This window comes from Homo sapiens, chromosome 12 (genome assembly GCF_000001405.40).
Source record: "Homo sapiens chromosome 12, GRCh38.p14 Primary Assembly".
NCBI lineage: Eukaryota > Metazoa > Chordata > Mammalia > Primates > Hominidae > Homo > Homo sapiens.
In genome coordinates, this window is record NC_000012.12 from 18713017 (window position 1) to 18739188 (window position 26172).

The following is a 26172-nucleotide window of genomic DNA, read 5'->3' on the forward strand; positions in this document are numbered from 1 at the left end:
CTCCTGGACCATTAAAAATATATACCAAAGTATTAAAATATTCCAAAGACCATTTGATTTTATAATAAATGCATAAATGAGTCCATAAAACTCTATAAAAACTTGTCTTTGGGACAAGTTTTGAGTCTCTAGAAATTTGCATTAAAAGGGAAGACACATACTATCTGTGTAGTACAATACTGTGTCTTTCTCGCTAGTCAAATGTTTTACTCTTCCGTGCTCTCCATACAAGGCTTGGTTTTCAGTAAGCAATGAGGATACCTGCTCCATAGTTGTAGCTCTGAAACATCCCTACTCCCAACCCATATAATTTTACTTATGGTGGCATTTACTGTTCAATGCCATACCATTCAAAAGTGATAATGTTCAAAGCCCTCTCAGAATAGTAAAATATATTAATAAAATCTTATCTAATTCTTTCCTCATGTCAGGCTTTGGGGAATGGGGTATATGGCAGAAAGGCAAGGATAAAGAAAAGATAAAGCATGACAATACTTGCTCTCTGGAAACAGTGTTGGCTACACAGTATGGAAGCTAGAGGGCCTGGTGAATCAGCAAATAATCCTTATCTCTCTAACCATTTAACATAAGGCCATCTCTAATTTTAATCCAAGTAAGCACTAGAGAAAATCAAGGTTTATGCAAAGGAAGCCTGGACACCTGCTCATCTCTGTCTATTCGACTCATAATTTCACTAGGAGAAACGTATGACCTGCTTACCTCAGAATACAAGTTCACAGCTTTATCAAAACTGAGGAAACTATATTTCTGCTTCTGCTGATATCTAAAACTGGGCCTGATTTTTCTACCTAAAAAATAAATATTGGTTTCTTGATTTAAACATAAATTCTATCTTAGGTTCATTAAATCAGTTGTACCCACTGTGTTTAAATTAATTTTCAGTGTTCATACTACAAGAGAGCAGTGACAGGATGCTTTATTAGCACATATGCTTTTATTTACTCTGTGTCAGTGGAAGCTGATTGCATTCAGATTTTTCACTGACTTTATAATAATGAATAAAAGCAAATAGGGATGTCTCAAAATCTTCATACCCAGCCCAGAGTAGGCCATTGTATGCCATCATGAAATAGGTCATTTGCCCCAAACTACCAAGAGTTCACTCAAATTTATTGATTTATGTATAGATATTGTTTTCTTGATTCATGCAAATATAGTTATAGCGTTAAGATAATTCTTTAAATTATTTCACAGACACATACAAAGAGTTGCATAGTTGTTCCTATTACCTATGAACCTGGCCTGACATGGAGCTAATATGTGCCAACCACAGACAGGGTCAGCAACACTAACATAAGGCAATGGTTAGTGCTGTTTCTACAACAGCAGGGATTGAAATTTCAGTCCATAAAACATGTTTGACATAAACTGACTGTTAGTAAATATTTATTGTGTTTATATTAGAAAACATGGGAACTGTAGAGATGTAAGAAGAGAAGTGGAAGGCAGAAAAATGTGATCTAAAACGCGATCTTGGAAGAGACAAAACTGAATCTGAGAGCTGACTTGAAACACCGGGATCTTAGAATCGATACATAATAGGAAAGAGGTTAAAAAAGCTCCCTTGTCATACATAGAGATATTTTTCCATAGAAAACCAGTAAGTACATTAAATTACCCCATGTCTACAGGCTACTGGTTTTCCACTGGGACGACTTTGCCTCACAGGAGGGATTTGGCAATGTCTGGAGACATTTTCGGCTGCCACAACTGGAGATAGGGAGAGGTTTGTAACTGGCATCTAGCAGGTAACGGTCACAATGCTGCCAAACATTCTGCAATGCACAGGACAGCCCCCAACAACAAAGAATTATCTGACTTAAAAAATGAAAAGTTTGAGAAACCCTGCTGTAAGTCATGACAACCTGGAGAAGGGAGTGTCGTCCCAGCACCAAGTACTTATATAAAATCAGTAGTTTTTCCAAACAGAAGCACAGAGCACCAAATGGGCCATATGAGAAAATGAATCTTTTAGATTTAGTTCTTCTTTGGCGATCATATGCAGTCCCTTTCTAGGGAGATGACCCAAGAAGTACTTAGGTAAGAGCATAGCTGAGAACAGATAAAACAATTATAACACTAAGTCAATGTACTGAATTCAGGACTGCCTAAAATATGAGAGAAAGGCGGTGGGGGGGGGGGGGGCGGAGGGAGGGAGAGAGAGAGAGAGAGAGAGAGAGAGAGAGACCTTATATACCCTTGGGAATAATAGAGATAAAAGTTGGAAGAACCCTGATGAGGAAGTAAGGCTTTAGAGAGAAAGAGAATTGGTGAATCTCATTTAACTTGGAGGCTTCACCAACCAAGCCAAATCTTTATTAAGAATAATTAAATTCTTAATAAATTCTTTTGGGGTGTTTGGTTTTTTTTTTGTTTTTTTTAGAGACAGAGTCTCGCTCTGTCGCCCAGACTGGGGTGCAGTGGCGCGATCTCGGCTCACTGCAAGCTCCGCCTCCCGGGTTCACGCCATTCTCCTGCCTCAGCCCCCTGAGTAGCTGGAACTACAGGCGCCCACCACCACGCCTGGCTAATTTGTGTATTTTTAGTAGAAACGGGGTTTCACTGTGTTAGCCAGGATGGGGTTTTTAAATTTTGCTTTTTGTTTTTGTGTCTGTTTTTGTTTTTGTTTTTTTGTTGTTGTTTTTAAGATGGGGTCTCTGTCACCCACACTAAAGTGCAGCCTCGAAGTCCTAGACGCAAGTCATCATCCCACTTCAGCCTCAAAACTAGCTGGGACTACAGTCACATGCTACCACATTTGGGTAATCTGCTTTGGTTTTTGTTTGTTTGTTTGTTTAAGTGCACAGTGCTTTATTTAGGCATGTGGCAATGCACTATAATGTAAAACTTCAGAGTTTTCTTAACTAATTGTCTTTGTATTGGAGAAATGGACCTAGAATATTCATAGAGAAATCTTGTCTGGCCCGTGGATACTCTCTGGGCAAATAAGGCAGAAGTTCTAAATTCGGCTACATTTGTAGAATTGCAAATGAATATATTTCTTGGCTTACGGATTTATTTATGTATTTAGATTTTAAGTTGGAGAAGAAACAATGTTTATTTGTAAAGTTTCTTAATTTCTATGGAAGAATGTTTGCTTTCCTGACTCGTATTTGATTATGACGGTAAATTGTCTTGCCTATTTTATCAACAGAGTATGAGTTCTCTGGAGTGCTGCCAGAGAACAATCTTGAGCTTTTTACTTGGGGTGGGGGGAAAAAACCACCAAGAACTATATTGTGAAAGAAAACTTTTCATAAATAATATTGGCTCTTGCTACTTCTCTAGATAGTTTTAATTTTATCCATGGATCAAGTCAACCTTTACAAAACTGCATATTCAGACTACATGGTTTGGTCACCAGCAAAATGTTTTCAGTGATTATGCAATGTCATGCCAACCACTTACATGTGGAGGCACCCAAGAGAAAGTTTTACCTTCTCTAATGGTGATGTTGAGGACACTCCACTATTTAACTTTGAGCCTTTTTGGAAACAGAGAAAATTTCTCTCTCATTCACTGCTGTTTTTTATGATCATTGTAAACCTTGTAACTAATCCTGTTTCTCTCTTGACTTCGGCTGCTAGGAAACTTACAGGTGATAGTCTCCATGCCTTCTAGAATTTGTACAGAACTTTGTGGTATGAAATTTCCACTCTTAACTTTATTTCATCTATTTATCTTTAAATTTCCTTCAAATACTTCCTATAAACTATCAAGGTATAAAATACTGTAATTTTTGTTGTAACTTATTTAGATTGTGTAATGTTACTATTTTCTATTTGAAGTTGAATTTTAACTGGTAATAAAAATAAATTTAAGAATCTTTTGGTACATTAAGATATTGAATGCTTTACAGCAGTAATATTCTTTTTCCTTTTGTAAATATGAGGAAATCGAGATACACAATGGTTATATCTGTCACAAAATTAACAGATGAGGGAAAGGGAAGAAATATGAGCACTAGAAACTTAAACATTGATATTTAAACACTATATTATGCCACTAGTCACAAGGAAAAATATTTTGAAAGACTTTCATACTAAGCATGTGTCTTCCAAAGGTGGATAAAGAAACAGAGAAAAGTACAATTAAATTTAAGTGTAAATTTGCAGTTGGGTGAAACTTTTTCTTGTAATGTAAAAGTAATTATATATATTTCTAAATATAACTGCTTTAATATTTATATTTTCTCTCTTAAAAAAATTAAAATAACAAAAAATGAATGGAAATTCCTATAATGAAATTATAGCTATAAATTGGGCTGTCTTTACAGAATTCTAAATGAATACATTTCAAAATTTGTGAATTTATGTCTTTACTTAGATTTGAAATTAGAGAAGCAGCAATATTTACTTGTATGTTTGATATTATCTTGGAATTAGAAGATATCTTTTCTATTGATGGTTTTACCTTAAGTAATGCTATCTAATCATTTGGTTTTAAATATCCCATATATGCTGATGACTTCCAATTCTGTTTTTCCAGTCTGATAACTTCTGAATTCCACACACACATAGATCAGACTATCTGATCTAGCCATTTGGAAACTAATTGATATCTCAAACTTAGCATGGAAACCACAGAACCCTTGCATGTTGCCTCAAACCCTACAATGGGCTTCTCTCTTGGGCTTCAACATCTCAGCCAACAGTATTACTGTAATTTGGTTATTGGAATGAACATCTTGATTCCTCTCTTTCCCTCATATCTCTCTTCAAAACACCTGGTAAGTCATGTTGGCTATACCTCCTAAAATTACATGGTCCCCAACATATGATGGTTCAACTTATAATTTTTCAACATTATGATAATGCAAAGAAAATACGCATTCAGTGGAAATCGCATTTCGAATTTTGAATATTGGTCATTTCCCAAGCTAGCAATATGCTGTATGAGATACTCCGTCGCACGATGTTGAGCAGCAGCAGTGAGCTACAGATCCCACTCAGCCACATGATCACAAGGGTAAACAACCAAAACTCTATGGTGTCCTGTGTTGCCAGTTTTTGGGGGTGCTTTGGGAGTGAGGATATGATTTAGCCTCACTGTAAGCTAGTGTAAGTGTGTTAAAGTAAGCTAGGTGAAGCTATAATGTTTGGTAGATTAGATATACTAAATGCATTTTCAACTTAAGATATTTTCAAGTATTGGGATGTAACCACATTGTAAGTTGAGAAGCATCTGTATCTCAAATTCAACTACTTGTCATCTCAGCTGCTGCCTCATGAGTTCACCACCAGCTATATCACCTGCACTGCTACACCATCTTCCCAAATCATCTTCTACCTCCACTCTGGCCCCATCAGTCATTCCTCCACATTATTGAATAAATCAAATTATGACACTATCTTAAGGAAAATCCTTCTCAGTGCAGCTGGGATAAAATCTATTCTCCTCTCCATGCTCTACAAGATCCTCATTAACTGACTCTGCCTACCTCCTCAAACTCACCTCCCTTCATTCACCATTGACTTGTCTCTAGCCACATTTGCCATTTTTCTCTCATTTAAACATGCCAATCACTTACTCTGTTTAACATGACCTTCCCACTAGATGTTTCTAAGGCTTCCTGTATCATCACTCATGCCACAACTATTTCTTTTTACCTCTTGAGAAGACTTTTCTGACAACTTTACCCTAAGTAACACCCTCCACCCCACAGTCACTTTCTATCACATTACCTTAGTTCATCTTCCCTGTATGATTCATTCATCCTTGAAAACATTTTTTACCTGGTTATTATCTGTCTATCTGCTTGTACACAGATAAATGTAGCAGCTTTGAAAATCTTATTCTGCACTGTATCTGAGCTGACTGACTAAACTGAAGTCTGGTATTAACAGTATGATAGGTACATTGTTAGGTATAAAATCAGCAATGCAATGTGGATTATTTTTAATCTATGTAAACTCTTTAACATACAAGTCTATAAAAATCACTATCCACAAATGTGAAGTTGTACAATGTACTGTATTTATGTGTTGGCTTTAGTTATAGTATGTGTCCTGATGTCTGAGAATTAATTTTAACCATACTTATTAAAATAGAGGATCTTCTGACTAGCTAAATAAGAGTCTTCTTCATATGCTTTCCTTTGAGAAGTGTCTAGGTTATTCAGCAAACTTCGGAGGGGCCATAACCATGGAGAGGAGGTTAACAGGTGGGATTAGAAGGAAAGCATATGATACTAATGCATACAATAAATTACGTTGCCACTTCATCCAAATGTTGGATCTTCAAGATATGTACAAGTAAAAATTTCTATTCCCTATGAGTTTGGATAACATGGAGAGTCTTCTTTTTATTGTGCACTCTTGCCTACTGAGGTAGACACTGCCAGGAACTTCCAAGTATTTTTAAATGTAATAGATTTAAAAATAAAATAAATACCTTACATATCCCCAAAGGTCACTTGGTCCCAATAATTGATCAGATACCAAATATGTGTTATGTGAAGATGAAATAAAATAATCATTTAATGGATGAGTCATATCTTGATAAACTTTTCTACATTCATTTTTAAACAGTAGACATTCACGTGAATCCATGTATCTTGTAAAACCTTCTAATGACATTTGGTGTGCTTTCCTAACTAAAAAAATAAAATAAAATAAGTTAAAAGGATGCAAAAATACCATTAGCAAGATAAAAAACTACATCTCACTTGTAAACTTACTCAGTAGTAGAGCATATTTCTAAAATATTCCTTTAGAATTAATATTAATACTATATTTATGTTGTTTGGAAACAAATTTTTGTAGTAAAACCTTCAGTTCTTCCATATTAACATTCAAGTAAATAATATATTATTTAATTATCTCTTTTTTTATGTTTTGAAAATACACACAAGAAAAGTACATATATTATGGACCAATGAACTTCGACAAGCTACACATCTGGATGACTGGCACACAGGTTGAGGAACAAAGCATTGCAGTGTTCCAGAAGCCTGCCTCCGACTAACTTCCCAGTCACTCACCACACCCAAGTATATCAACTGATCTGACTTCGAAAAGCATAGATTAGTTTTCTTTGGTTGTTGCACTTTATATGAATTGACTCAGACAGTATGTATTTTTTGTACCTGGTTTCTTTTACTCAACATTCTATTTCAAAGATTTACTCTTGTAGTTGCATGTAGTTATAGTTATACATTGCTCATTCCCATTACTTTACAGTATTCCATTGTATGACTATGCCACAATTTATTTATTCATTCTATCACTGATAGGCATTTAGATAATTTCCTGTTTGGGGCTGCTACAAATTGTGCTGCCAAAAATAACCAGTAAATGTCTTTTAGTGCAAATATATACACATTTCTGTATGGTGCATGCCTAGGAATGGAATTTCTGGGTCATTTGTATCTGATCATCTTTAGTAATTAATCTCTGAACTGTTTTACTCACTGTAATATGTACCAAAATATCTATCAAGCAGAAGACTGGCTCTGGAAACAGCCTGGACTCATATCCATTTAACTTGTTATATGATCTTGAGCATATTAGCTAACCTCTCCCTATCTGTGGAATGGGGGTAATAATAGGATCTACCCTTATATATTCACTCTAAAATTTTTAGTTGCTATTATTACTGTTGATAGTTCATTTCAACCAAAAAGAAAAGGTGACATGAGCATTCACTTGATTAGAGTGTGATCTTTGGCAGAGAATTTTATTTCCAGGAATTTATCCTATGGAAGTAGAGACTCAGACAGTGATGTACAAGAATGCTCACATTAGCATTATTTATAAAAGCAAGATAAGTGCAGGGGAATAAACAAATTAAAGCTCAAAATATGATACAATACTAAGCAGCCATTAAGAATAATGTATCATAAAAATATAGTGATGTAAGTAAATGTTATGACATCATAAAAATGAAGAAGACAGCATTCAAAATGCTATTACTATTTTGGTTTAAAAAAATAAAAGCTAGAAGAAAATAAATGAAATTTTTATAGGTATACAAACCCTCTATTTCAAGCCATATAAATTTAGGAAGATAGAAGTGTATGGAGCAAATGAATCATGCATTGTAACAGTAATGACTTGCATACATTTATTATTTTTCCCTGTTTAATTAGCAGTAATTGGCTTAGCCCTTTTGAACTACTGAATAATTAAATAAATATCTTTGGTAATGGAATAGAAAATAAACTCATTTTGTTCCCTTAAAAACTACCAGTTTGAAATAAGGATTAATCACATGGATTTTTAAAAACCTCATTTGGTGCCTGTCACATACCAATGAGGGATGAGGCTGAGGAACTTGGCAGCATTTGGAACTATAAGATCATAATTCAAATTGGCCTTAATAAGACACCAAAGTGATCAATAATCATGTAAATGAAATGCAAGGTCCTGGCTGTGTTGGAGAGTATTTGAGGCAGGTGAAGGCTCAAAAGAGGAAATGGATGAACAGTATAATATTGTAGTTAAAATGCAAACACAATTCCAAAGTGTCACTGCCTCCATCCCAACATCTCATTTGTATCTTTTAATTTACCACCTGAAGTTTACAGTGCCAAAGTAATTGTTTTGGTAATATTCTCTAGATCAGTGCTACTTAAAGTGCTCATCTGTAAACTGGTTGTTTCCAGTTGGCAATGACATAAAGAGCTTGAGCCAGAACATAAATCAATTCACTACTTCCTTAGAGAAAGTCTTGCTATTAAAAAAAAAAAAAAAAGTCATCTGAACTCATCAGTTCTGCTTAGTGATATAGTCGCTTAGTATTCTTGTGCAAGCTCTTTACCTTGCTGCTAACCTGCAAAAATTTAATGGTGCTGAGACCAAATTGTCACTAAGACTCAACTCAATGACACCACTACAATATCGAGAACCCTTCAAAATCTTTGCATGGCACTGAGTCATGAAGCCAAAATCTTTATTGTGGCCTATAAGAACCTATATGGTTTGATCTCTGCCAGTCTCTCCAAACTCATCTCTCTCTCATTCTCAAAGTTCTAACCACACAGTCCTCCTGTTCCTTCAGTTATTCAATTCAGATTTAATGCTTCCCTTTCTTGGACCTTAGACACTTCTCCCATTTTGTCATATAACTTGTCCCTTCTTGTCATTTAAGTCTCAGCTCAAATCTCACACTCTCAGAGAGGGTTCTTCTGAACACCCAACCTGAACTAGGCCTCCCAGGTCATTTACTCTCCATCACCTTCTTGCTCTATGTTTCCGTATCACATAGCACTCTCTTAAGATATCCTTTTACATGCTTCATTATTTACTGTCAACTTTCCTCCAACCCATCAGGAATTCAAGACCTAATTGCCTTATTCTTCACTATATCTTCAGCCCCCAAAACCATACTTGGTTACTACAGATAAATATTTGAATAAATTATGAATGTATGATCCAATGCAGAAATAAGTTTGGTTTTTTAGAAACTACATTATCATGTGTTAAACATTGGTAGCCTAAACCAACTTAAAGAGGCAAAACTAGAACTTTCATACGCCCCTCCTAGGTGAATATTTTGAGCTATTCTATCAGTTAGTTTCTGTAAGGTCAAACATTGTGCTTTAACAATGTTTTGGTACCATATATGATTATTTTATTGTATTATGTGTTTATAATTTTATTTCAAAATGAACATAAATGAAAAACTGTGAAGTGTTTTTACCCATTGAAAGATGGAACAAAGATCACAAATTCTATGACAGATCGTTAGCCTAAATGGTCATTTAATTTAAACCAAATCACTATGTGTTCAAAAATGAAGAACAAGCGAAAAGTATATATATTTACGAAATGTTGTAGATAATTATATTTATAAACAAAGTAAAATTCATCAGTTTATAATATTTTCTTCTTAGAATTTTTTTTCATTTAGCACATTTAATTTTCATAGATATTTTCAATAATATAATGCATTAAAATGGAAGACCACCTATAACTGGGGTTTTATCTTATTCATGAGATCAAGATACTTTCTTCTAATAGGGTACATGTAATAGAATCATTGTCTTACTTTCACCTCCAAGCTCATTTCTGAACACTTGAGAGATACGTGGAAGCAGTTAAAAGAAAGGAGCTGAACAATGTATAGGAAAGGATGTCATGGTTGCATACTATAGCATTCTAAAAGGTATCAATTCTATAAAATATATTTTCTCAAAGATATTTGACCCATCCAAAAACGGTAATTTGATAACCACAATTCATAAAAATACTTTGCTTTGAAATAATTTTTGAAAAAAGAAAAAATACTTCACATATAAATATTCCGATAAAAGTTTGAAATGCAAACATACCTTCTTCGATAGGCTCGTATTTCTGAATGATCTCAAAAGCAATAGCTTTACTCATCTCAGCTGCATATTGTTCTTGTGTCAGAAATTGAGCCAGATTACTTGCTAAAAGAATTTTCCGGTTTTCAGAATATGTGTTGAAAATCTCAATAATTTCTTCTCTGTGCGTGATAATTCGATAAATTGCTCTAAATTCTTCTATGGTGATTCTTCCTTGTTTCAGCCTGTCATTGTCCTACTAAAAAAATGACTGGTGGGCTCACATTGTGAGTATAAAAAATACATAAAATGAATATTAGAGTATTTATGTAACATGTAGTAATTTATACTTGAAAGAAGATGAAAATTACATTGGATTCTTATTGAAGATAAAATATACAAAGCTGCATGGAGTGACGTCAAAATTGGAAAAGGGTTAGTTAACTCTTGAAACCCAGTGGTTATAGGGATAAAGAAAGGAATGTGGGAGAAAATGAGGATTCCAGGTTGTCTTTCAATTTCACATTTCATTTTTGTATTCCACTTTACTTCAATATCTTCTTAAAACCATACCAGGCAGTGTGTAATCTCATGCCACTGGTGTGCAGCCTGGACCATATATGTCAGAGTGAGTCAGACACATTCAAGATCAATGTAAACTGCAGAAGCTGTAGTAGTTATGCAATACCTTGAGGAAGTGGAGTCTGAGTAATCATTGAAGGATTTGGGGCAGGTACAAACAAGATGAGTTCCAATAAGAAAGAGTGGATTCGAAAGGTCATATTTGAACTTTACGAGAAAAGGCAAGTTGTTAAAAGTACCAGGATGATTGGGAGTTTCTGAATAGGAAAATCAATACCAAAAATAGAAGATTGGTTTGATTAGTTGTGCATTTCCAATTGGAAGAGTTAGAGAACTGCAGGTAAGAGCAGATAAGATGAAATTCAAGTGGGAGGTGGTGAATAGACACTAAAGAACAGACCTCGGTGAAATGACGAAGGAAGAATTCAGAAGAATTCGACACAATGAAATTTTAGACAAATGAGAGAGATAACTCAAGAATGACTGGGGTCAGGGAGAGTTAGAAAAACTGGTAGAACTATAGTATCACTAACAAATAAAAAAACTGGGAAATAGGAATTTCAGCTAAGAGGGAGATTTAATTTTTTAAAAAATGCTTTTTTATAACATCTTAACTCTCTTGTTACATTGTAAACAGCTTGAATGCAAGAAGCATGTGTTGAAGGGGCATTGTGTCATGGTGGGATCTGTGGTTGTCAAATCAGATGCGGGGTCTCCAGAGCTGATTAAACAATGATAGCACCTTAAAATTATATAATCTTAAAGTAATTCATGCGTATTGTTCATTACCTTACTTAAATAACATGCTTCAACTTACTGTTTTTAAATTCTGGATTTTGAGGTCTGTGGAAGCGGATGTTATAGAATTAATTTCATTTTAGCCTTATCTCACTTCTTATTTGTCATAAAATCTTAAGCAAGTCAATAAAAATTTAAAATGTGCCCGTAATCCCTGAAAATTTTGGTTATAGAAAATTATGTAAATAAAAAATTATGGTTCTACTGAATAGCAGCATAAAATAAAATATACATTATTCACTGAATAATGACAGTTTTATTACTTTCAAACAGAGTATAAGCTTGGTCATCCGAAATGTTCTCTGATAATTTGTTTTGTCTCGTGTTCTTCTAAAAGGTCAAAGTTGCCATCTTGTACTAAAAAGAATTGGAGATATAAGTCCAAACAAAATTCCACAAATCCAAAGAATCACTATAGTTGATCAAAATCAAAGAAGAATTCAAAGTCAAATGTTAATCAAATTACAGAAAAATGAAAACCACACAGAATAGTGAGAGTTGTATCACTGAAGAGGGGAAGATCTAATTTTAGTAGAAAGAGAATGGAAAAGGAAAGCAACAAGGAGCAAGTGACAATGGGGAAGAAAAGCAGGACGTGGTAGCATCATGATCAAGGGAAGCGGGGAGAAGAAAAGCAATAAGAAAGAAGGTGCAATTTGAGTGCTGAGGCACGTGACAGCAGCTCAGACTGCCAACGTGCTAGACTCCTCTGTAAGAGAAAACTGAAGCACAAAAATCTTAGGTAAATTGTCCCCAGCCACACAGGTAGACCAGGATTTTTAACTAACTCTAAGACCACCCAGAGGAGCAGCTGGAAGAAAAAAAGTCAGTATACCATTACACAGATTAACAGTATATATGCAGAAATCAATTCTGTAAATTGCAAATCTGACCATCTCAACTCCCTCTTAAAGTTCTCACTGTACCTCCTTTGTCTTCAAGACAAAACCCCAACTGTATTGTGTAGCATCCAAGGCCATCTAAAATGTCATGGATGATTTCTGCTCTTATCTTTTTCCTCCTTCCACCTCACACTTCAGGTGCTCTGAATTAGTTGCAGTACAGGTACCAAACCATCTCTTGCTATGGTACCTATGTTTCTCGTTGTTGTTTTTTGTTTGTTTGTTTTTCTTTCCGGAATATCCTTCTTTCTGTTTAAATTACCAATTTCTACTAATCCTTGAAAAAGTGTCACCCACTCTAGAAATCTTCCTCTGTATCTCCTCCCCAGGTTGCATTAAAATATCCCTTCTCTGGGTTCTTAGAAGACTCCACTTTCTTCTCTTACAGGCCTTATTAGATTGGAATGACAGCCTTTTTCTATATTCATTCTAGAATTGCCTCAGACAGCAAGTTTGTCATTTGTTTCTTGTATCCTCAGGACTCAAAAAAGTGCCTGACTGAAGATATTCAGAGTGTGGCCTACCACCCAGTTTTATGAAACTGATGAAATAAGTGCATTTAGACAATAATTACATAAAGGAATTAAGTATCTCCCTAGACTTAAGGAGGATAGGAAAAGAGATTTAAAAATGCATATCCCAGAAGATATGCAAAATCTCAGGCCCCACCTCAGGGTTCACTACCACCTTTAAAATGTTTCGTATTAATCATTAAACATACAACATAAAATAAGAGTAATAAAATCATTTGTCTCCTGTTTAAAAAACGTTCCTTAAGTGGTTATTCTTTGCAAAGCATTACAAAAAGCACTTTCCCAAACAATTCATTCAATGTCTTGTATATTTAGAAATACACCATATGCTTCAAGACCGTGAACATCATGAAGGTAGACATTTTATTCTTTTTATTCCCAATGCCTACTACTGGACCTACCTAGAGGAGGAGCTTAATTACTATACGTTTAAATGAGTGATTGAATAAACAAGGGAAAATAAAATTCAAAATAATTCTATTGATTGTCATTCTGAGTGTACACTTTCAGAAACAGAATGAAGGCTTTCCATATTGTCACCATTTTCCATTTCCAATGCTCAGTTTGCTAGTAAAAATATGAAATGTTATTTAAAATAATGTGATGAGAAAGCTGATTTATCAAAACAGAATTTACTTTTAATGTAAAATACAGCATTTTAGAGTTGGTTGTATCTAAAATTACACTAAAAATAAAGCCTAAGTAAATTCAAATTACATTACAGGAAATGATATGACTTGCCACTTTCTTTTTTCCCAAACTCTCGCGCTAGTTTAAATTGTTTGGCAGTTTTCCTGTTTCCTTTTCTTCTTCCCTTTCCTCCTTACCAAATATATGAGTCAGATACTATACTGGGTAACAAGGATGCAAAAGTAACATATTGTCAGTGCCCTCTGGAAGCAGATAGTCTAGAAAAAGAAAGTAGGCATGGAAGTATACAGGTGCCGAAATATAATCTTTGTAGCTGAGCACAATGGCTCATGCCTGCAATCCCCAAGCTTTGGGAAGTCAAGGTGGGAGGAGCACTTGAGGCTGAGTTCGAGATCACCCTGGGCAACATAGTGAGACCCTGTCTCTAAATGTAAAAAAAAAAACAATTTGCCAAGTGCATTGGTGCCTGCCTGTAGTCCCAGCTACTCTGGAGGCTGAGGCAGGAGGATCCCTTGAGCCCAGGAGTCCAGGGCTAGAGTGAGCTATAATCATACCACTGTACTCTGGCCTGGGTGACAGAGCAAGACCTTTTCTCTAATTTTTTTAACATTTTAAAAATAAAATAAATTCTATAGATAATAGACACAATAAGGAAAGTTGGACAATTCTTCCTGGAGGGTCAAAGGAGAATCTTTATAGAAAAAGTGATCCTGGAACTGAGTCTTCAGAGGTGAGAAGGAAGATATTTGCCTGAAATTAGGGAGGAAAGGGGCTAATTCTATTTGTTAAGATCAGAGCAAATGAAAGTACAAAGTACAAAACAGAAGAGTGTAATTAGAGAGAATGTTAGTGAAGCTGCGGGAGCAGATAAGGCAGGAAGCACAGCTGAATCCCAGGGTTCCTCGGAAGCCACAGTGAGAAATTTAGACTTCTTTGGAAAGAATAAAGAGTTATTGATCAGTTTTAAGAGAGAAATCCCATAGATTTTCGTTCTAGAAAGATTACTCTGGCAGCAGTGTAGAAGGTAGATGTTGGGATTTAAAACAAACCAATCTGTAGGGTTTTTCCAACTTTGATATGCATATGAGTCAACTTGGGACTTGTTGAAATGCAATCAGCTTCATTTCTGGTCTGAGGACCACAATAAGTAGTAAGTAGTTCAAGAGCAATTGACATGGTGTAGCAAGTATATGGACCTAAAAAGATAGGGTCAGAAGAAGAGTCTGAAAACCTCTTCAATTTCTGCTTAGATAACTGAGAATGGTGCCGAGATCACCAAGCAAAGAAATAAAGGAGGAAAGACAGTTTAAGAGGGAAAGACGAGTTTCACTTTAAACATATTAAATTTGAAGTACATCTGAGATGACATCTAAACAGAGACAGCCAGCAGGCAAATGGTTGTGTGTTAGGAATAGAGGAAAACAATATGCTATAGAAGAAAGTAGAATGATAACTTTGCAGTCAGACAGACCCAGACATGAGTTTCTACTGTTATGTGAGATATGAAGAAATTATATCAACATTCTTACACTCAATATCCTTATGTATAAAAAGAAGCTAACAATAACTTCCTTATATGTTTTTAATAAAATGAGTGCAACACCTAATCAGTGTCTACATTATGGCAGATGATGAACAAATGGTGCCATTTACATGTCTTCAACGTTCAGGATAGAAAACTTGGAACTTGTTCCTATTTAAGAAGTAGCCGTTAAGAGTCAATAAGATAGCTCAGGAAAAGTTTGTAATGTAAAAATAAAGGATATAAAGAGCTCAACTTTAAGAGGAGAGCAGAAGGAGTGGTCACAGGACAGAAGGAGAAGGACTGATCACAGATTTGAAGAGAAAATTGGGAGAGAATGATGTCATAGAAGTCAGAACAGGGAAATTTTTTATAAAAAGGGATAAGTGAAATGCACAGAGAGGCTAACCAGTGGATTTAGCATTTATGACCTAAAAAGATTTTCGAGATAGGTATGAAAGCAAAACAGATTGCAATGGATCATTGAACGAGTGGAGAAAGAAATGTAAAGGATTCTTTTGGTTTATCTGCTAAAACAGGGAATGTAACATTAGAAGAGGATATGGTGCTATTTATTTTTTAGATGAGACTTTTTAAAAGTTTACATTGTGGAGGACCAACTAAAGTAAGAAACCATAAACTTGAGGTGGAACCAAACAGAATATAAGTGGCTGAGTTGATTCCAGGTAGCGGATTTGTAGGGCAGAATCAGTAGAGAAATAATTTCTCTCTCTCTCTCTGAATACTAGCTTCCAATCCATTCTAACTAGTGCCATGTTATTTATCCTAAAATATGTAATATTTCTTTACTCAAGAAATTTCAGTGAGTACCCCTTGCCTGCAAAAGGAAATATAATTTCCATGGTCTACCATTCAAGGTTTCCATCATCTGGCTATAACTGTCATTTGCAACTCTTTCTTACCACTTCCTTTCATGCATCCTGTACTCCAGTCATATTTGATTACTTTTTATTCTCCATGCACTCTTTCCACATACTCCATACATATTCCTTCTTATTTAAGGTCCAGCAAGAATGCCACTTCCATCATGGCATCTTCTATAAAAGCCCAAACTAAATAGAGTCTCTTCTCAGATTCCCTGTATTACCCACGAGATATATTATAAGCTACTTATAAAACAGTAATTTCTGCATTCCTTTTTCTGCCCTTAAAAGAAAGATAACACTTTATTCATTTTTTACAGTTCACAGTTTCCTACAGAGTGTCACCACATACTATAGATTTAATAGTGGCTATTAATTCCTTAAAGAATTTGAAGACTCAGGGCAAATCCAATTTAAAAAATCCTGAAATTACAAAGGATACTATTTCTTACTCAACCAACAATCAAAAGTGTAATCCAACACTCATACTGTGTATTGAAATAACATATATTTCCTATAAAATATTTTAAATGCTATAAAGACTATTGCATGATAAAAGCAATAGGCTTTTTTAGTAAAGGGATTTAAAAAATCTTAGAGAATTGCTGCTCAAGCCATGAATCAATAATTAATCTTGTAGAAAGAAGTTCAGAATATATTGCCAAGATCACAAAGTTATATTTTCTTTACTCAAATTTATAATAAAATGTCACCTTGTAAGAAAATAAACTCACATCAGAATTTACGTCAGCTTAGATAATGAATAAATGTAATTCAATTGTGTATACTTAACTGATGCAGCGTCTACATATATTTATTGAGCACCTATTTTGTGTCATGCCTAGTACTAGGTATATTCATACATAATATCTTATTTAATACCCACAACAATCATGTGAGATAGCTATGTTAGTCCCATTCTACGGATTAAGAAATTTGCTCAGAGAGATTTTTAACTTGCCAAGTAGTAAACAGCTAGGATGTCTTACAGCCAAGAATCTCTAGTGCTCTGAGAGACTAGAAGATTTTGGTCACGTAGGACTCATTTTATTTACTCTGGGAAAAGGTGCATCCATAAAATGAGAAAAAATTAGCAACAAGAGTTGAAGCAAGTGAGTTGAATGTGTAAGCAGCTTAATCTTCAGCTATCCATAAAATACAGTTAACCAATACACCTTCCCTAAGGATTCTACTTAATCAACATTTTAATGCATACATGGCAATTTAGCCTAAGGTGACAAAGTTTTAAATTAGTGGTTCTAGAATTATGTTACTAGATAAGAATAGTTTATCATGATTATCAGCCTTGTTTATATGTAATTTATGCTTCTAAAGTACTTACAGTTATTTTAGGGAGGTTTTTGAAGTATTCTTAGCAAACTCTGTGTCTCTAATTTTTATAATTAATATTATATTAATAGCCACTCCAGAAACACTTTGCTAAACAATAGATCTTCAGGCCTGCTCATGTCCGTAATCATACATTTCAATTAGTGAGCCATTTCCGTACTTTTATAATGGTTGAGCATTCTATGTAATGCTTTTAAATATGACATGTATTTTACTAAATTTCACTTCAGATATCTCTGCCCTGAAGATAACATAAAGAAACTTGATAATCACTGAATAATATTTACATTTCACATTTGATACAGATTTCAATATATTACTATTTTTATTTTGCCTTTAATGTAAATTTTAATAAATCGAGAAGCAATAGCTTTTCTCCCTTTGGAAGATACTACCGGAGGAAAAATCCTACATGTAAAGATGTTCATAAAAACTTGTGTTCTTTGAATGTGGTATTAGCCATGAATCGATTAAAATTCTGATACCTTATGGCCACATGCACTGCTTGGATTCAGAGACACAGTTCTGCAACTTTGGTTTTCACTGGGGTCTCCTGAGAAGTACAACTTTTCTTTTTTAACCTCCTCTTTGTGGTTTGTAAACTTGAGGGCTAAATGTTATTGAGAGAAGTGGTTGTTGGAAGACAATTCTCCATAGGTCTCTCGTGTTTCTATGTGTTTTCTGAGCAGAGGTATTGATTGCTTTTCTTCCATACTAGATTTTCAAGGACATTTGTATAGCGAACAGCTTTCGTAAAGATACTGTCTCCTTCCAGAGGAAAAAAAGCAGTTTTGTTTACTGTTTCCTATAATAATGATGACAGCCTACAGGGCAAAGATCAGGTAGGCTTACTGCCCACCATAAAAGGCCCAGGTTCCTTAAGCTTAAGGTACCTACTCTATAATGCAACTCACTGTGTGTCACTTGTTCCTCTTCGTACCACACTTTAAAAACTGGGGCTTGGGGAAATAACGTCAAAATGCTAATACTCTGACAACTGTCATTTCTGTGAGTAATAAGCTGTCTTTTTTTTTTTTTTTTTTTTTTTTGACGCACAAGCCTGCTTCCACCAGCTTCCATGGAGCTACATCAGGCCAATTGGTAGCTTGCAGGGAGGGTAAAATATCAGACCTTTCCCAGTTTGTGTAACCAATAACAACTTCAACACAGATTGTGTTATCTGAGTACTCACTTTCAAAAAACAAAATCATACGCAGGATTTTAAGGTTCCTATTGATCTGGATTGGCCAGTGTAGCTTTCTTGCCTCATTCTCCAAGAAATTTGTCATCTTCCTAGTACAAAACTCAGCTAAAATGGCTTTTCCTAATTTTGTTAATGATCTTTCCTTCTGTCATCTAGTGACAGCATTGAGCCAGGTTTCCCTCCTACTAGTTATTCTTCAAACAAAGATAATTTTTGGATGATTTTCTTTTGTGGAATAAGTGAAATAACCTATGTTTTCAGATTACTTATTCCTTCTTGATTTTTTAAATCCATTTATTGAGGTATAATTGACATACAGAAAGCTACACATATTTAATGTATACAACTTGATGAGTTTGGAGATAAGTATACAGCCATGAATTTATCAACACAATCTATGCCATAAACATATCCATTCCTTCCAAAAGTTTCCTTCTGCCCTCTTAATTATTTTTTCCCCACAGGGTCTCTCTTTGTCACCCAGGCTAGAGAGCAGCGGTGCCATCACAGCTCACTACAGCCTCTATCTCCTGAGCTCAAAGGATCCTTCCACCTCAGCCTCCCAAGTAGCTGGGCCCACAGGCACACACCACCAGGCCCAGCTAATTTTTTGTACTTTTTGTAGACACGAGTTTCACCATGTTGTACAGACTGGTCTCGAACTCGTGAGCTCAGGCGATCTGCCCAACTCAGCTTCACAAAGTGCTGGAATTACAGGCATGAGCCACCACGCCTGGACCCTCTTTATAACTTTTGTGTGTGATAAGAATACTCAATCTAAGATCTACCCTCTTACACTTTTAAATATGCAACACAATGTTATTTATCACGGGTACTATGCTGTTCAGTAGCTCGCTGGGACTTATTTGTGCCGTATAACAGAAACTATACCCTTTGACTAACACTTCCTTGTTTTCCCCTCCCCCAGCCCTGGTAACTATCATTCAACTCTCTCCTTCTATAAGTTTGACTGTTTTAGATTCCTCACATAAGTGGTGTCATGCACTATTTGTCCTTCTGTGTCTGGCTTATTTCCCTTAATATAATGTCCTCTAGTTTTACCCATGTTGTCACAAATAACAAGATATTCTTTATTTTTTCAGGATGAGTAATATTTCATTGTATGTACATACTATATTTTCTTTATTCATTCATAATGGACAGTTAGATTGCTTGCATATCTTGGCTATCATAAAATAATGCTGCAATATATACAGGAGTACAAATATCTCTTGATTTCAATTCCTTTAGGTATATACCCAGAAATGGGATTGCTGGATTATATGGCAGTTCTATTTTTAATTTTTGTGGAACCTCCATATTGTTTTCCACAAGGTTGTACCAGTTTGCATTCACACCAATAGTATACAAGAGTTCCCTTTTCTCCACATTCCTGCCAACACTTTTCTGTTGTACTTTTTTATAATAATCATTCTTACAGGTATGAGGTGATAGCTCATGTGATTTGATTTGCATTTCCCTGATGATTAGTGATGTTGAGCACTTATTTATATACCTGTTGGCCATTTGTATAGCTTCTTTAGGGAAATGTCTATACAATCCCTTTGCACATTTTCTAATCAAGTTACTTGGGGTTTCCATTCTATGGAGTTGTGGGATTCAATTTTGGATACTATCCCTTATCAGATATGTGGCTTGCAAATATTTTCTTTTATTCTGTAAATTGGCTTTACATTTTTGTTGATTGTTTCCTTTGCTGTGCAATAGCCACTTTGTTTCATGTAATCCCACTTTTCTATTTTTAGACAAGTTTTTGTTACCTGTCTTTGTTTCAATCCCTTTGGAATCATATCTAAGAAATTCTTGCCAAGCCCAATGTCAAAAAGCTTTTTTCCTATTTTCTTCTATGAGTTTCATAGTTTCAGGTCTCAAGTTTAAATCTTTAATGGATTTTGAGTTGATTTTTGCATATGGGGTAAGGTTAGAGTCCAATTTCATTTTTTACATGCGAATATCCAGTTTTCCCAATGCCATTTATTGGAGAGACTATCCTTTCCCCATTATGTATTTTAGTACCTTTGTAGAAGATCAGTTGACTATATATGAAGGGGTTTATTTCTGGGCTCTCTATTCTGTTCCATTAGTCTACATATTTGTTTTTATGCCCCTACCATACTGCCTCAATTACTGAAGTATTTTAAATACATTTGGAAACCAAAAATTGTGATGCCTCCACCTTTATATTTCTTTTTTAAGATTGGTTTTGGTTATTCAGGGTCTTTTTTGATTCCAATATGAATTTTAGGATTGTTTCTTCTGTTTCTGTGAAAACAAAACAAAAATGCCATTGGGATTTTAGTAGGGATTACATTGAATCTATAGATCACCTTGGGTAGTATGGATATATTAACATGGGATGTGTTTCTGTTTATTTGTAACTTTTAAAGTTTATTTCATCAGTGGTTTACAGTTTTGGTGTGCCAGTTTTTCACTTCCTTGGTTAAATTTATTCCTAAGCATTATATATTTTTTAATGCTAGTGTAAATGAAAATGTTTTCTTGATTTCTTTCTGGATAGTACATAGTTAATGAATAGAAATGCAACACATTTTTACATAGTAATTTTGTATCTTGCAACTTTACTGAATTTAATAGTTCTAGTAGTTGTTTTTGTTGTTGTTGTTGTTGTTGTTGTTTTGAGGACTCTCGCTCTGTTGCCCAGGCTGAAGTGCAGTGGCGCAATCTCAGCTCACTGCAACCTCTGCCTCCCAGGTTCAAGCAATTCTCGTGCCTCAGCCTCCTGAGTAGCTGGAATTACAGGCGTGCACTACCACGTCTGGCTAATTTTTGTGTTTTTAGTAGAGACGAGGTTTCAACACATTGGCCAGGCTGGCCTCGAACTCCTGACCTCAGGTGATGCACCTGCCTCAGCCTCCCAAAGTGCTGTGATTACAGGCATGAGCCACCACACCCGGCCTTGTGGTAGTTTGTTAACAAAATCTTCAGGAGTTTCTACATGTAAGATTGTGCCATCAGTGAATAGAGATAATTTTGCTTCTGCCTTTTTAATTTAATTGCCTTTTATTTTCATTTCTTGACTAATTGCTTTGGCTAGGATTTCCAGTACCATCTTGAACAGAAGTGGTGAGAGTGGGCATCCTTGCCTTTTCCCAGATCTTAGAAAAAAATCTTTTCAGTTTATTTTATATGATATTAGCTGTAAGCTTTTCATATATGGACTTTAATGTGTTAAGTTCCTTTTATACTTAATTTACTGAGAGTTATCATGAAAGGGAGTTAAATTTTGTCACATGCTTTTTCTATATTTTTGAGATAATCATGTGATTTTTATCTCCATTCTGTTAATGTGGTGTATCACATTGATTGATTTCTGTATGTTGAGCCATCCTTGCATGCCAGGGACACATATTATTTGGTCATGGAATATGATCCTTTTAAAGTGCTATAAATTTGATTTGCTATTATTTTGTTGGGGAATTTTGCATCTATGTTCATCAGGAATATTGGCCTAAAGTTTTGTTTTCTTGTGGTGCCTTTGTCCAGCTTTGGTATCCAGATGATGTTGACCTTATAAAATAAAACTGGAAGTGTTCCCTCTTCTATTTTTTAGAAGCATTTCAGAAGGATTGGTATTAATTCTTCTTTAAATCTTTGGTAGAATTCACCTGTGAAGTCATTTGGTCCTGGGCTTTTCTTCGTTGGGCAGTTTTTGATTACTGATTAAGTCTCCAAACAGGGTCTCACTATGTTACCCAGGCTGGTCTCAAACTCCTAGCCCCAAGTGATCCTCCCACCTTGGCCTCTCAAAGCATTGGGATTACAGGTACAAATCACTGCACACAGCCTCTCAGTCTCCTTTTTGTTATTGGTCTGTTTAACCTTTCTAGTTCTTCTTGGTTCAGTCTTGATGGGTTATATGGTTCTTGAAATTTCCCTTTTTTTTCTAGATTGTCCAATTTTATGGTGTATGATTGCTCTATGTGTTTTTCATTTTTGTGAGATCTGTTGTAATGTCTCCACTTTCATTTCTGATTTTATTTGACTCCTCTCTCTTTTTTCTTACTCTAAGTATTTGTCAATTTTATTTAACTTTTCAAAAAAACAAGTCTTAGTTTCCTCAATTTCTTCTAATTTTTTTCTTTTCTATTTTAGTTATTTCTGTGCTAATCTGTATTATTTCCTCCCTTCTGCTAACTTTGGGCTTATTCTCCACTCTTTTTATAAATCACTAACATCTAATACAGTTACCATTATCAGTCTGATATAATTAGACATCCAATCCTAGGTTTAATGTTAGCATTTCTGTATGCTCAGGAAATTATTCTAAACTGATATCCTGGTATTATTTCAGATTTTCTCAACAACTAATTTTACCTTCTACTGAAATGCTCTCCATCTTGATTGTAAATATAGTTAGTATAATTAATTGCTTTTCTTCTTAAGAGACTAACCTTTATATGACAATTACTGACATTGGATTAAGTTCCACCTAGGATAGGATAGGCAGGGGGTGGATGTCATCTTACCTTAAAAATCTGTTTCACATGAATATAACTGCACCGAATATCTAATTTTTCAAGTAACCTCTGAGTTTTTTCTAGGTTAATTTTTCCACCTCTGAAGTCATCCTGAATCTTTGACAAAAACCATGTAGAAGCACAAAAAAGTTAAGGAAATTCTCACAGAAAGTCATTGAATATTTAAAATTCCTAAAGAAACATTTGATTTACTGTATTATTTTTATTTTTAAAGAATATGTTTAAAGTAAATTATAGTATAATTGTATGATAAATATTTTTTAAAAAACAAAATTAAGTAGTTACTATGCTATGGTAAAGGTATGAAAGGGCATAGCACAGTAAAAATACAAAAAAAAGAATTAAAGTTAAAATTTGAGAATTGAAGTCATTACTTAGAACATACATTAAAACATTATAACAATCTATTGCCTGAAGGCATGAAGTTGGAAGGCAGCTAGACTTCAAGATCGCCTCTCACCTGACCTCTCTGTTTTAGTTCTCTCTTCCAGAAAGGTGAGCAAATTAACCCTGAATCTTAAGGAAAGTGGAAGCATTAGATGAATTCCTAATATGCCACCGAACACAGTTTCTGCTACTTAGTGTTCAATAAATAGTAACCATGACTGATAAAGTTATTATTACTACATTAGTCCAATGCCCAGCTACACACACACTCAAGACAGTACCATCAAAAAGCATCAGAAATACCATGGTGAGTGTATATTTGGTATGAAAAACGAAAAAAATTTTTAAAAGCTTACTTATCATAGATAAACTACAAAAACTAGGACACTTCCATTTGAAAAACTAAGATCGAAATGAGATAATGACAATTATCACTAAAATTATAAAAGGTATAGGTAAAAATTGTGCAAAACTACTAAGTTTCAGATTGTTAGAACGAATTAATGAGATCTCCTTAAATTTAATAGTTATGACTTAATCCAGCAAAGCTCATGTTCTTGTAAGAAAAAGATACCAGAATGCAGGGAAAGTTAGAAAAGCTCAGAACAAACAGGGAAAAGCAGTTCAACTTAAATGAAGAGGACTTAAATTCAGAACTCCTCGAAAAGAATAACAGCATCAAGTAAAGAGGATAAGTAGGAGAAAGAAGAAGAGGAGCAGAAAGAAGCTCTCAATGGATATCTCATTTCCATAGTTTCATGACCTGTAGAGCCGTTTCTCCTCACTTAGAAGTCTTTCCCCAGTAGGTGCTGTCATGGGTTCCAAATACAATTAACTCTGCCCCTTTGCAGAAAATAATTTCTTGATACTCATCAGCTGTTACCACTTTTCTAGGGAGAAAGCAGAGAACACACAGTGGTTTTTTTTGCCTTCGTTCTTTGAAGCTAGCTCACACTTAACCATAGAAACAGTATGCAAGATGTGGTACCTGCACTACCCTGCCCTTGAAACTGTTTGGCTTCTTACGTTCTGACCACCTCCAAACCCACAATATTTGAAAACACAGCTTTCCCTGATGTCTGGCATTTTTCCATGAACTGCCATTGTATCTCCTTTTATTTTTTACTACTTTGTTTAAACCCCTCAAACCTTTCATCATAATATGCTTCCAGTGGGTTTGGGCAGCTACTCTGAGAGCCTGAGTATAAATCAACACCATTGTGATTCCTGAAGTTGCAAAGTGCTGTCACTCTTGAAACTTTGGGCTGCTTCTCTAGATCGTTGACAACATATAATGCACACAGAGACACACCACTTTCGAAGAAGACTGTTCAGGAGGCTAAGTTCTTAAAATCTTCAAAAGAGGTATAGCTGGTTGGCTGGGCACCACACTGTCAGGTGACTGTCATTTTTTCCTTTTGGTCTGAATTCCCATTGTGATATCATCAGAGGTTCCACACTTCACAAGGAAAGCTTCTTATGACCTCATCAGGAGGCTCAGACCTTGCCAGACTGCCTGCTTTCATGGATAGACATAAAAACCTTCAGCTTGAATGTTAACACCTTGATGGGAAAGGTGGCTCATGGAATGTTTTCTTATCCTTTGAACACTCCTCATTTCAGAAGCTTTGCTTCTGTTGCAACCAAACATGACACTTAGCGTGCTGAGCAGGAAGGACAAGGAAAGAGTAATTCGCAGACTGTTATTACAGGCCCCTCCAGGGGAATTTGTAAATGCCTTTGATGATCTCTGTCTGCTTATCCGTGATGAAAAACTTATGCACCACCAAGGTGAGTGTGCAGGCCACCAACACTGCCAAAAATATTCTGTACCACTCTGCATCGATGGAAATCCAGTACTCTTGTCTCACCACAATGTAATGGGCGACTACCGATTTTTTGACCATCAAAGCAAACTTTCTTTCAAATATGACCTGCTTCAAAATCAGCTGAAAGACATCCAAAGTCATGGTATCATTCAGAATGAGGCAGAATACCTGAGAGTTGTTCTTCTGTGCGCCTTAAAACTGTATGTGAATGACCACTATCCAAAAGGAAATTGCAACATGCTGAGAAAAACTGTCAAAAGTAAGGAGTACTTGATAGCTTGCATTGAAGATCACAACTATGAAACAGGAGAGTGCTGGAACGGACTTTGGAAATCTAAATGGATTTTCCAAGTTAACCCATTTCTAACCCAAGTAACGGGAAGAATATTTGTGCAAGCTCACTTCTTCAGGTGTGTCAACCTTCATATTGAAATATCCAAGGACCTGAAAGAAAGCTTGGAAATAGTTAACCAAGCTCAACTGGCTCTAAGTTTTGCAAGGCTTGTGGAAGAGCAAGAGAACAAATTTCAAGCTGCAGTCTTGGAAGAATTACAGGAGTTATCCAATGAAGCCCTGAGAAAAATTCTACGAAGGGATCTTCCAGTGACCCGCACTCTTATTGACTGGCACAGGATACTCTCTGACTTGAATCTGGTGATGTATCCTAAATTAGGATATGTCATTTATTCAAGAAGTGTGTTGTGCAACTGGATAATATAAAGAATTGCTCCTGGTAACTA

At 35.3% G+C, this 26172-nt stretch overlaps 3 protein-coding genes across 21 annotated transcripts in view, besides 1 other annotated feature; 2 read left to right on the top strand and 1 right to left on the bottom strand.

Annotated features, from left to right (window-relative positions):
- Window positions 1-13801, top strand: part of PIK3C2G (phosphatidylinositol-4-phosphate 3-kinase catalytic subunit type 2 gamma) — a 483857-nt gene extending 470056 nt beyond the window's left edge. For 4 of the 5 annotated variants that reach the window (XM_017019471.2, XM_047429008.1, XM_017019473.3 and 1 more), the window contains one exon: window positions 2670-3845. In XM_017019471.2, the coding sequence (XP_016874960.1) occupies window positions 2670-2840 (171 nt within the window). In that variant the 3' untranslated portion in view covers window positions 2841-3845. Of the gene's footprint in view, window positions 1-2669; window positions 3846-11987 lie in introns of those variants that run through there. The other variant, XM_047429007.1, reaches the window with a different exon arrangement.
- The window catches only part of PLCZ1 (phospholipase C zeta 1), a 92404-nt gene extending 67408 nt beyond the window's left edge, over window positions 1-24996 (bottom strand). For 6 of the 15 annotated variants that reach the window (XR_001748912.2, XM_017020178.2, XM_017020177.2 and 3 more), the window contains exons 1-5: window positions 24916-24996; window positions 24345-24493; window positions 23205-23328; window positions 10295-10526; window positions 6415-6616 (exon numbers count right to left, since the gene is read on the bottom strand). Coding sequence is in view for 11 of the 15 variants with exons in the window: in XM_017020178.2 (XP_016875667.1) it covers window positions 6415-6616; window positions 10295-10526; window positions 23205-23328; window positions 24345-24355 (569 nt within the window). In the remaining 4 variants the exon portion in view is untranslated. Of the gene's footprint in view, window positions 1-720; window positions 810-1639; window positions 1758-6414; window positions 6617-10294; window positions 10530-23204; window positions 23329-24344; window positions 24494-24915 lie in introns of those variants that run through there. The other 9 variants (XM_017020183.2, XM_024449255.2, XM_017020185.3 and 6 more) reach the window with 7 other exon arrangements.
- Window positions 10659-11858: an enhancer, noted in NCBI's record as "P300/CBP strongly-dependent group 1 enhancer chr12:18876609-18877808 (GRCh37/hg19 assembly coordinates)". NCBI's record gives its function as "activates an origin of replication core promoter dependent on BRD2, BRD4, P300/CBP, MED14 and CDK7 cofactors, with strong dependence on P300/CBP, by STARR-seq in HCT116 cells {active_cell/tissue: HCT116}" and the evidence as "EXISTENCE:reporter gene assay evidence [ECO:0000049][PMID:35650434]".
- CAPZA3 (capping actin protein of muscle Z-line subunit alpha 3) lies at window positions 25103-26172 on the top strand. Its single transcript, NM_033328.3, has one exon. The coding sequence runs from the start codon at window positions 25253-25255 to the stop codon at window positions 26150-26152; it is 900 nt and encodes a 299-aa protein (NP_201585.1). The 5' UTR covers window positions 25103-25252; the 3' UTR covers window positions 26153-26172.